Raw genomic sequence first — 12,559 nt, 5'->3', positions numbered from 1 at the left:
TTATTTAAAAAAATTAAAATTTTTAATGTGTGTATTTTCTTTAGAGAATGAAAAAAATACAAGAACTACATTGTCTCCCCAAAATGTAAAAAGAATATCTGATAGGTAACAATCTTTTTGTGTGTGTGTCCAATTTGACTGCTCATAAACAGGCTCTGTGTGACTGCATTGCCTAGCGACTCTATTGACAAGGCTTTAAAAGTCTGCAATTAGCAGGTTGAATGGTATTACAGAGAGGTCCTTGAAAAGATGGTATAGATTACTGAGATGCAATATTCCTTTTTAGAAAGAATAATAAGTCTTTATATAGCCATCAAAGCCAGTTCAGACTGCAAAGTAAATAACATTAAAAAAAATTCAGATGGAAAACTGTAACTCTAAACTGCCAAATCCCAGAAGGAAAAACATTTAAGAAACTAGGAGCCTTCCAGTGTTAAGCATGTAGATATTTGGCAGCTGTTTTAAAACAGTATTTTGTTTTAGTAGGTGACTGTATGATTATGCGATACATGACATTTGATGCTACCTCACTGTGGTATCATATAAACAGTGGGATTTACAGAAAATTCTTACTCAGAAACCAAAGATTGTCTCAACCAGCAAAATAAAGACTTATAACAAATTAGGTAATAACAATTTACTCTTACATTCCTGAGTTATTTTCAGTTCCGCTCCTTCTTTTAATTCTCATAGAACAGGTGTTACCTATGCTGTGAATTCTGCTGCAGGGAGAGATTCTGTCTGCATATCAGAATTAAAAGGGTTCTGGTTCAAAATACAGATTCCCAGGCCCAAACTCCAGAGAGTCTGGTCAGTAAGTGGAGAATGGGGCCCAGGATCTGTGCCTTAACAGCCTGTCTGCCCCCGCCCTGTTAAATTAATGAGTCTGAAAGAGTTGGTCCAGGTACCCATGTCTGAGAACCACCATCTGGACTTATATGAGGTTAGTGCTTTGCCAAGAGCATAGCGGAATTAGAAATGCCACAGCAGGTCTGGGATGGCAATGGTGTTGGGTGCTGTGTCAATCACAGACTGTTAAAACAACGCAAGCAGTTTTCTTCTTTTTCCATTTTTCTGCCCAGTTGCTCTGCCTTATGAGATTTTCCTGCTTGGCTTATGAGGACCATCTTGGATTTTCATTACCTAGAAGAATTTAGTATTCTCTCTAAACTTGGATATCTTTCTGTATATTCTCCCTGAGCTTTTAATAAAAGATTATTATTGAAAGTGAGAAAAGCCCACTCTCCAGAGGGCTCATGTATCCTAATGAAGCATGTGATTCTGAACAAGTTCACTGCCTGCGACAAAACAGTGCTCCCCTCAATCTAATGACTCACCTTAATCATTTTTGGTTTGGAACGTTCTTAAGAAAGTATAATTAGACAACATCCACAACTTTCCACAGGCCCATATATCCCTTCAATAAAATTGATCAAGGGAAGAAGAATGACTACCCTCTCTGGAAGATTAGTAGTACGTAATATGTGCAATTCACAATGAATTCAAGGGGCTGAGCCGCTCCTGCAGAAAGCCATCTCTGATCCCACCCTCTTTGCCCCTTTCCGCTGCCACTGTCTTCACACAAATGTGGTTTCTCCCTTTGGAACTCTCAGAGCATGGCTCAGTGCCTCTCTGATGGTGGCTACGTCATGCCTACCTCCATGATATAGTTTGGATCTGTGTCTCCACCCAAACCCCATGTTCAGTTGTAATCCCCAATGTTGGAAGTGGGTCCTGGTGGGAGGTGATTGGATTTTGCGAGCAGTGTTTCTTATGAATGGTTTAGCCCCATCCTCCTTGGTCATGATACTGAGTGAATTCTCATGAGATCTGGTTATTTAAAAGTGTGTGGTACCTCCCCCGCATCTCTCTTCCTTCTGCTCTGGCCATATGAAGTGCTCGCTCCCCCTTCAGCTTCCACCATGATTGTAGGCTCCTTGAGGCCTGCCCAGAGGTTGATGCTGCCGTGCTTCCTGTACAGCCTGCAGAACCGGGAGTGAATTAAACCTATTTTCTTTATAATTACCCAGTCTCAGGTATTTCTTTATAGCAATGCAAGAATGTGTGAATACACTCCACTATGAAAGCTTGACTTTCTTAAAGGCATAGACCATGCTCTAAAGCATATGCCCCATGAATGAATAAGCAAATCAGTGACCATGTAGCCTCCTTTCCTCTTTACATTTACATATGCTTGGGGTGCACGGAGCCCTTTTGCATCCACCATAAGCTTTTTCTTCTTTCCCTACAGACCCACAGAGATTCTGTGACTTTCCATGGCTCTCTTCACCTGTCTCAGCTACTTCCAACTTGGCTGTTCAAAAACTAGTTCAATATAGCAATTTCTATCAATTGACTTCAACAAGGGTATACACTATCAACTGCTGTAACTCAAGGCCACCCTTTTTCCAAGCATTTTCTGTGGGTTAGTGCTTTGATCCAGAATTTGTGTTTAGCTGTCCTAAAGAGAGGTTTACGTACCTCATCCTGCAACAGAGTCTTACTGTACTCCAGGTGGTGCCTCTCCAAAATAGAAGAACCATGAAGTCTTGCTAATGGAGACGTGGATCTAGAAGGAAAACAACATGCCATGATTCTAGCTGTTTAAAAATTACACATAGGTTCATACAATTCAGGATTTTTCTTAATGTCTCTCTTCTCCCTCCTCACTCAATTATCTGTGAAGTGGTCAAAAATAACATATTGGAAAAGATTTTCTAGATTTAGAAGATGAGAATATGCTCTTTTGGAAAAAAAAAACCTTAATTTGTTGAATGCATAAATGATTTAATTGTTTAAACTAAGGAGTTCAGCTCCTTGTATCTAAATTCTTTAAGTTCCCTGGGGCTTATGGCGGTGGACTATGACTTATAAAACATATAGCAAACATGTGGAGGCCCATAGGTTATCTGCATAGAACCAAGATGAAAAGCACTATAAGGTAACATTTCTCTCCTCCCCCAAGACAGTGAGATAAATGTATCTCCCTGTTCCTTCCCATTTATTAACAATTAGATCACAGCTTTATATAAGTAGGGGCCCCAGTCTTTTGTACCCTGTTTTTCTTCAATGCCTTCAGGGTAAAAGAGGCTGATGTCAAAGGTCTAGAGATTATGTGAAGACTCTCATGAAAATATAGAATAAATAATTTTAAAGAAAGAAGAAATAAAAAACATGGCTGGTAGCCTTAGTAGAGAAGCTTTATTTATTTCATGGAGAACAAAACTTTAGGCTGGGAGAGGTCATTGCCAGGTTACTGGCAGGTCAGGGAAAGCAAATACTTTAGTTGGGGAATAATTAGGCCATATCTGATCAATATTACAATCGATCATAATTTTAACACATATTTAAACAACTACTCTGTGTTGGCATTAGAGATTTTTAAAAAAATGAGTAAATCCCAGTTTCTATAACCACCAAACTGCTTTCTATCTTCTGAGATCCACTTTTGAAGCCTCCATATATGAGTGAGAACATGTGATATTTGACTCTCTGTGCCTGGCTTATTTCACTTAACAAAATAATCTCCAGTTCCATCCATATTGCTGCAAATGACAAGATTTCATTATTTTGGTGGCTGAATAATATTCCATTATATATATACTATATCGATATAGTGTATATATACTATATATACTATATAAATATACTGTATATGTACTATATATATACACTATATATATGTACTATATATAGTATATATATAGTACTATATACATACTATATATATACTATATATATATATATACACGCACCACATTTTCTTTATTTGAAGATAGAGAGTAGTTTGGTGGTTATCAGAGGCCAGGAAGGGTAGGGAGGTGGGAAGGATGAAGACAGGTTGATTAATGGGTACAAATATACAGGTAGGTAGAAGAAATAAGACCTACTGTTCAATAAATTAACAGAGTAACTATAGCAAACAACAATCCATTGTTATTTCAAAATAGCTAGTAAAGAATAATTTGAATATTCCCAGCATAAAGAAATCATAAATGTTCAAGGTGATGGATATCTCAATTATCCTGATTTGACTATTGCACATCATATGAATGTATCAAAATATCATGTACCCCAAAAGTATGTATATCTATTATGTAGCAATTTAAAATGTATATTTTTAAAAATGAAAAAGCTCAATTCTAGTCAGAAAGGAGTGGTATCTTTAATTCCTTTAGGTTTAAAAACATTAGTTAAAAAATGTTATTGGGAAGCTAGATATTAATCTGATCTCAAACTAACGTTTCACGTATTACTTATTAATTGCAAAGGAGAAAATGTTCCTTTACATAAAGAGATCTTCTGGACATCGCCCATAAATAAAATTGATATCATGGGCTTCTTGACACAATGCATTGAGAAGGACACAGCATCATCTATGTAGTATTCCTGCCAAAAAAATGTTTAGTCTGAATTTATTAATCAGGAAACAAGTGGTTAAATCCAAATTGAAAGATATTCTGCAAAATAGTTGGCCTAGACTCTTCAAAAACATCAACATCCTGAAACACACAAAAAGGTTGAGCAACTACTCCAGATTAAAGGAGATTAAAGATATTTGACAACTAAATGCAAAGTGTGCTCCTTGATTAGATCTTGAATTAGAAGGAAAAAATAGCTATAAAGGACATTATTGTGGTAATTGGAAAATTTTTAAAAAACACTTTATATTAGGTAATATTATTGTACCAATACTGAGGGTGATCATTGTATTGTGTTTATGTAGGTGAATGTCCTCCTAATTCTTAATAAATATATGCTGCAATATTTAGGAATGAAATCTAGTATTGCAGCTGACTCACAAATGATTTAGTGAAAAAAAAAAAAAAGAATTAGTTGGCCACATACAGTAGCTCAGGCCTGTAATCCCAGCACCTTGGGAGGCTGAGGCAGGAGGATTGCTTGAGCCCAGGAGTTCAACACCAGCCTGGGCAACATAGGGAGGCCCTGTCTCTACAAAAACAATTTAAAAGTTAGCCAGGCATGGTAGCATACACCTGTAGTCCCAGCTACTTGGGAGGCTGAGGTGAGAGGATTGCTTGGGCCCCAGAGGTCAAGGCTGCAGTGAGCTGTGATCATGCCACTGCAGTCCCTGGGTGACAGGGTAAGACCCTGTCTCCAAAAAATATATATATTATTTATATACACACACAGACATTCACACACACTGACAGTCTGCAGTCAGGAAGCCCTTCCATCACCACATGCCCATACAGTTGAGTTTACAGAGGAGGAATGATGAAAGAAAACCAGGCCAATGCAGAGGGCAGGGTGTGGCTGCATGCATCTTTCCTGCAAACCTGGAGGCAAGATGGCAACTTCAATCCTGCTACTTCCTATAACCTAGGGAAGGTTTAACTTCATCTTTTGAGCTCATCAGTTAAAGTGGGGGATACTAGTACCTCCTATATGGCACCTCCCTTCACTGTGCTGTGAAGGTTAAATGAGGCAGTAGGTATCAAGTCCTTACTAGCACACAATAGATGCTCAATTTGTTTCTCTGGAACTGAATTGGCTAGTATACTACTGATCAAGAAGGAGGACGAGGACTTCAGTGACTGTCAGGGGACTTGCATTCTGGAGGAGCGAGCGGCCAGTGTAGGCTGGAACCTTTGAGATGAAGATGTCTCTTGCCTCAAGTCTGGATGGAGATCATCTTTTCAAGACAAAGCCTAATAATAGGTAGAATTGCTGAAGATGAGGAGTCACTGCTTACAAAGTGCTTTTCGCTCAATGAAATTATATATGTGAAACCTGCCTAGCAGGCACTTTCTCAAGTAGGTTTCACATATGTAATTTCACTGGATTCTCACAACAATCTTTGAGAGGTCAACACTTTATACATCTCATGGCTAAGAAACTGAATCTCAAATAGATTAAATGACTTGTCCAAGATCCCCCAACCAAGAAGTAGTTGGTCCCCACAAACCCAAGACTCCAAAGCCCATTCAGTCTGTCTACAACACTTCACTACTTCTGGAGAGGGGTAGTTCATGTGTCAGAAATGAGAATGAAGTGTGGCTAAGGCAGATAGACCATCTTAAAACCCATTATCAAGGAACTGGGCTGGCCATGAGCAATACTGGTGAATGAATAGTCCAATGACATCACAACAATAATAGTAACCATAATAATACCTGAAGTTTATTTATTTATTTATTTTCCGAGACTGAGTCTTGCTCTGTCACCCAGGCTGGAGTGCAGTGGCGTGACCTCAGCTCACTTCAACCTCTGCCTCCTGGGTTCAAACAATTATCCTGCCTCACCCTCTCAAGTAGCTGAGACTGCAGGTGCACGCCACAATGTCCGGCTAATTTTTGTATTTCTAGTAAAGATGGGGTTTCACCATGTTGGCAAGGCTGGTGTCCAACTCCTGACCTCGTGATCTGCCCTCCTCAGCCTCCCAAAGTGCTGGGATTATAGGCGTGAGCCACCGCACCCAGCAATCATACCTAATATTTATTAACTGCCAAGATCCTACCATGAGTTGAGGGCTTTATATGCATGATCATATTTAATCTTTACAACAACCTTATGTGCTGGGTACCATTACTATAATTCTTACTTCCCAGATGAGGAAATTGAGGCTTAGAAAGTTTAAATAATTTGTGACCCAGTGAATCCAAATCTGCCTGAGCCCAGAGCTTGCACCCTTCTTATTGTACTTCCTTTCTTGGGGCAAGAGAGAAAGATGGCATCGATGTTAAGATGGAAGACCAGCTGAAGGAGAGTTTGGCAGAAGCAAAAAGACCAGGGAGGTGAAGGGTAGTGAGCCCAGGGGTAGTATTCTCTAGCCTGAGCTGGGGAGTGCTCCATAGGAGTGTACAAGTGTAAGCCTAACATTCATGTACCTTATGTACTTGTTTTTTATTTTTAATTTTTTTCGAGACAGAGTCTCTCTTTGTCGCTCCAGCTGGAGTGCAGTAGTGCAATCTTGGCTCACTACAACCTCTGCCTCCTGGGTTCAAGTGTTTCTCCTACCTCAGAGGCACACGTCTACCTCCTATAGACATGTGCCTATAATCCCAGGTGTGCCACATCCGACTAATTTTTGTACTTTTAGTAGAGACAGGGTTTCACCATGTTGGCCAGGTTGGTCTTGAACTGACCTCACTTGATCCGCCCGCCTCACTCTCCCAAAGTGCTGGGATTTCAGGTGCGAGCCACTGTGCCCAGCCAGATTCATGCACTTTAATATAGGAATTCAATACTCTGATTAAACAAAGTTGAGAGAAGAAAGCCTGAAGGCCTATAGGAAGAAGGCAGAGGCACATCTGGAAATGAAAACAGAAAGGAAAGGGGGACGCAAGAACCTAGGGAGAAAGAGCAACGTTATCGTGAAGGCGGAAGCTTGGGAGGGAATAGAATCCAGCCCTGGAATTTCCAACATGGCAAAGAGGCATTGACTGGGCCAAGGAATAGGGAGAAGCGTTTTTCTCACCCTAAGTACTTTCCAATGTCCACCAATACGTGTCAACATTGGACATGTGTTCACTTACTTCATCTGGTACAAATTATTGGTGCCTCTGTGGTCAATATCATGGCAGAAAGCAGCAGCAAGCATGGCAAAGGCTTCGAGATCTGTGTAGTACTTCTTTAATCTTCCTGTCTAAAAAAATAACATATATATGCATATCTATAATTTATTTGAATTAATATACCTCTATACCAAGTGCAGCCTGCAATAGAGAATAGGCCCACTAGGTTTCTGGAGCAAGTTCACTTTATTTGTTGTGAGTATTGTAGTACTGTGGGTGAAGACTGAACCTTCCTTTAAGAAGGTAAGTGTGTGAATGTCTGAATGATCATCCCACCGGTGCTCAAGGATACTGGGACTCATCTGCAGCGGAGAGGGGTTTGTGCCCTGAATTTTTAAATTACTGATCTAAAATGATGGACCATACCTATTTCTCATCATGCTCAAATGGGAAATCTGCAGGTTTACAAGGATTTACAGCCCTCTGTACCTACCATCAGCAAAGTAAACATGGTCTGCCCCACGTTGAACCCATGCCGCCAATTGTGGTAAGTGACAGCTCGGTACCCTTTCCTCACAGTGTACATCCATCTGGTAAGAACCTAAAAGAAGATGACACCATTCAGACTTTGGAATAGAATTCTAAAGGTTAGAAGGTCTGTGGCAATCTTATCTAAAAAGATGTGTTGGTCTTGTAGATAGGGGTTAAGCTGATGTATTTAGAAAGTTAATAATAATTTAAAATTCAAACTGAGTCCATCTTTTGAACCACAGAAAACATCAGTGAAGCAGAGCCACAGAATCACACAGTATTTTAAATTAAATACCCTCTGACCTCTACAGGTACTTTGAATTTCTCCACCACATTTATTTCAAAAAACAGTCGTATTCCACATTTAATCAATCCGTGCTCTGTAAGGGGGAAGTCACTGAAGCGGAATTCGTACAGTTCTGCTGAGCGTGGGTCTGGCAAGTCCTCTTTCTGTTGAAATAAGGATGGGTTGTTTCAGATTACATTCATCTGTTTTCCCTTTCCACTCCCATAGCCAACATTGGGTGTAAACCAAAATTACAATAAAAGAACACAATGTGTGATTCACTGAACCACCATGTGCCAGGCACTGGATGATGCAGTTTGCACAGATTATGCTAACGGCAGGCCTACACGATTATCTCCATTTTACAGGTGATGAAACTGAGACTTGGCCATATTAAAGACTTTCTAAGTGATGGGTTACCATTCTAAATCCAACTCCAGTAGCTCTTTTCTTTCAATGATGCAAAATAAAATGTTTAGTTACAAAAGCCTTACTCATTTTTGATACTCAACTTTTTTTCTGTTCAAGAAATATTCAGTAAACAGTAAACGACTGCTTAATTCAATTCTCTTGAATTTTCTTTATGTGCTCAGTGACAGTTTCCCACTAGAATGTGAGCTCCCCGAGGGTGGGGATCATCTGCTTATTTGCTGCCATATCCCAAATCTGCAGGTCCTGTCCCATGAAGGTGCTCAGGAAATGCCTGTTGAATGAATGAGTGGATGGATAAACCAATGATTGCCCTGCAGTACATAGGTATACTTGCAGACATTTCATTTAACTCACATCTGGTTAGGATTTCGGATTATGTGAAAAAATAGCCAAGTAGACACATGGCATTGGTGCGACTTGAGAAATAAAAATATGTATCTTGCCCTTAAGGAACTTAACTTATTAAAGTGGCTATAAAATATATACGAGTGAAAAGTAAGCACTTAGAATAATCAGAGAGTATGGCCAGTGCTCCATGCCGAGGGAGAAACTGAATGTCCTTGGACAGGTGGGGAAATTAAAGGAGGAGAGATGCTGGAGGGACATGCATGCAGCTGAGCTGGCAGAAGGAAGCGGAGAGACGATTCCATGTGGGTGAGAAAGTGCTAAGAGGCAGAAATGAGCAACAACTATGTGGGCCTACCAGACAGATCTGCAGGAGAGATTCAGTTCAATGGGTATTTATTTGAATGTGTAGTATGTCCTTACTAGTGCACTGAGGAGGACACAAACATAGGGAAAGGGAGGTCACTCCCCTTAGTAAGTTTAATGTTTTTCAGGGGACAGCCATGCTCTATTTACACAGATTTCAACACCGAATGGTATATAGCTATTTAAAACAAAATTACGGTTTCTGGTTCCCCCAGCCCCTGAGCCTGGGCTGACCCCTCACACTCTTGCACAGAACTGTTGCTACACCCAGAAAATCAGCTGAGCCTTCCCTGGAGGTAACATGAAAGTGCAGGCCTGGAGAGAGACTCAGGTACGTGAAGATGGACAAATAATTACGTAGCTGGGAAATGATGCCAGGATAATTTTGGAGAACTCCTCTGAAATATTTGTTACGTTCCTCAATTTTATGCAACAATGATTTGGGATTTGCCCTGAGTAGATTTTACATTCAAAATAGGCTGGTTTTTTAGGAAGTCTACTGGTTCTTTGTCCACTTTATTGCTTCTACAACATAAGATCCTTCTTCCTTTAAATAAGAAATTAGAGAATTTCTGGTGACACGGATGTCAATAAAAGTTTTGTTTTCCAAGAAGATGCCTATTGTTGAGGGCAGGTGGGGAGAAGAAAGGGTGGTCTTCTGGGCCAGGCTGAGAGGATGGTGCCAAAGGTGGAGCCAAGCAAAATGGGAGAAAAGGGAACCTCAGATGACATGAAAACACGGGGGTGGGAAGTAAGCCCCAAAAAAGGGTCAAAGACCAACAGTCTTATGGTAGCAGAGCAAAGGCCCTGGGTGGGAGGACAGAGCCCACAAAAGATGGAAAGGGAGAAGGTGAGATAGTCGATGTGTCTTAGTTTAGAAAGAATGCTCACATCACAGATCGGAAAGAGATGGTGGAAAACAGGTTATAGCAGTTAGTAAGGAAATTAAGTGTGATATTTCCATTTCAATCAGAAGGAATTCAATCCTCTGAAATTCAAGGTCTTGGGGTCTTCGTAAATATCCCAGGATTTCATGGATTCCAGAGGAGCCACTTTCTAGAAACAAGGGCTCCACCCTAATAGTAGGAATAAAGCCAAAAAAGATCATTCCAAATGAAATCTAAAACAATTCTCTCACCTGCCAGAAGAAACTCTAATGCTCTTTGCAGAAGGATAATATCACTCAGAGCCCCTACACGTTTTTATCTACAATATCTGATTTTTTATTTTAAAAGCATAAGGCATGCTTTAAAACAGGATCAAATGACTAGAACCCAGGTGTAAAAATAAACAGTAGAATCAGATCTACAGGTGATTCTGGTATTAAGATGGGTACCTTAAAATAATACACATCAATACATTTATGAAAATACAGGGGAAAATAGTCAAAATAGATCAAATGATGAAAAGTTTTAACACAGAGTTAGAATCTTAACAAAAGAATTAAATGTACCTTCTAGAACTGAAAAAAATCTCTGAAATTACGAACTTATTGAGCGAGTTTAACAGTTGATCGGGCACAACAAAAGACAGAATTAGTGAAGTGGGAAAGTTAATTTCAAAGAAAAATAATAGGGATGGCCTACTGGCAACAACACGAAAGAATGGAGCCTTCAGACTCCAGAAGAGAAGCTAGAAATGGCAGGCGGTGCCAGTGCCTAGAAAGATCCATGCTCCACGCTAACTCTGTCATGTTCTCTGTGGTGGCCATGGTGTCATCCAAAGCTATTAAAATAAACTGTGCCTTGATATCCCTAGATTCTGTGCCTGAAGTCCCCTAAGCAGTAGTCTAGGCTACCTACAATTGTAAATTATCTGTATGAATTGGACCAGAGGCGACAAAGATGAAGAAAAGCAGGGAATCAAAAGATCAATCTTTAGAAGAATTCTTTCTTTTTAGCCTTGAGAAATATCAGGAAAGAGAAAACTCAACATTTACTTGAAAAACAAGAAAGCATGTCCTAATATATTATTGATTTATAATGCCTCTATTTAACAGGCATTAAGGTTAGAAAGAAAACACTTACCAAAATTGCAACAAGTTGTTTTTCTTCACAGTCGTCAATTACATCAACATTTAACTTCTCTTGAAATTTCTAAAATGTAAAAGCAATTGAGGTGTGAAATTCCTAAAGGAGAAGATTTCCATCTGATTCCTCTACTATTACAATCTTAGTTAAGATATATTTAAAATATGTGGGAGGAAGAGGCGGGAAGATCCCTGGAGCCCAGGAGTTGGAAGATGCAGTGAGCTATGATGGCACCACTGTAATCCAGCCTAGGTGAGAGAGTGAGACCCCATCTCTAAAAATAAGTAAATAAATAAAATATACTACAATGAGTTCCATGGCAAAGATGCATTCTTTGTCATGGATACAAAGACCTATAGCACCTGATTATGAAGACTTTTTTCAAGAAATAATCTAATATATTTGATTTTTAAAATTCCCCCAAAATGATTACAGTAGCTGGTTTTTTTAAAGAGGTGTGGGTTGTTTGCATGTAGGAAAGAAAAAATGAGTGGCTTACATTTATTTTTGTATTAGCTTATCACAGTTCCTTTTATTACCCCCAGATCTTCTCATCTTTAACATCTCAAACTATCAAACTGAATTACACTCAAACCACTCGGCAAAACCAAAAACCAACATGCTCACCAAAACCAACCCACTCCAGCAAAACTACACACACACACACACACACACACACACACACACACACAAAGCCAGGGAAATAAAAGAAATAGAGATGGTGGGCACATGATATTTTCCCTTCATTTTGTGGTGATTAGAACATGGTTAGCAAATATCCACTTGCTCCCCCATCATCTATAAGGTTGGTCTTCGTGATGTGGCTTTCTTTGGCCAATGAGCATTTTGGTGAATGTGATGTGAGCAAAAACCTGAAGTATGCCTGCACAGTTAGGTTTGCTCTCTTGCACTTCTGTCATCTTTGTGAGAAGGACATCTATCAGGTAGCTCCTGGTCCAAGAAGGATGAGAGACACATAGAGCAAACCAAATTCATAGCTTGGAGCCAAGTCCAGCCACTGTCAATCAAAGCCTGGTCAACCCACAAATGTGAGTGAGAGATAGAGGTTCATTACTGCATGACACTGAGGC

The 12,559-nt window shown here is 39.7% G+C and overlaps 1 protein-coding gene across 1 annotated transcript in view; it reads right to left on the bottom strand.

Annotated features, from left to right (window-relative positions):
* Positions 1–12,559, bottom strand: part of PDE6C (phosphodiesterase 6C) — a 53,474-nt gene that overhangs the window by 17,482 nt on the left and 23,433 nt on the right. The window contains exons 11-15 of the mRNA NM_006204.4: positions 11,466–11,534; positions 8,313–8,459; positions 7,972–8,079; positions 7,500–7,609; positions 2,482–2,569 (exon numbers count right to left, since the gene is read on the bottom strand). Of these exons, the coding sequence (NP_006195.3) occupies positions 2,482–2,569; positions 7,500–7,609; positions 7,972–8,079; positions 8,313–8,459; positions 11,466–11,534 (522 nt within the window). The remainder of the gene's footprint in view (positions 1–2,481; positions 2,570–7,499; positions 7,610–7,971; positions 8,080–8,312; positions 8,460–11,465; positions 11,535–12,559) is intronic.

Source organism: Homo sapiens, chromosome 10 (assembly GCF_000001405.40).
Source record: "Homo sapiens chromosome 10, GRCh38.p14 Primary Assembly".
Taxonomy (NCBI): domain Eukaryota; kingdom Metazoa; phylum Chordata; class Mammalia; order Primates; family Hominidae; genus Homo; species Homo sapiens.
The sequence above is the reverse complement of the archived record's forward strand: the minus strand, read 5'-3'. Positions and strand labels throughout refer to the sequence as shown.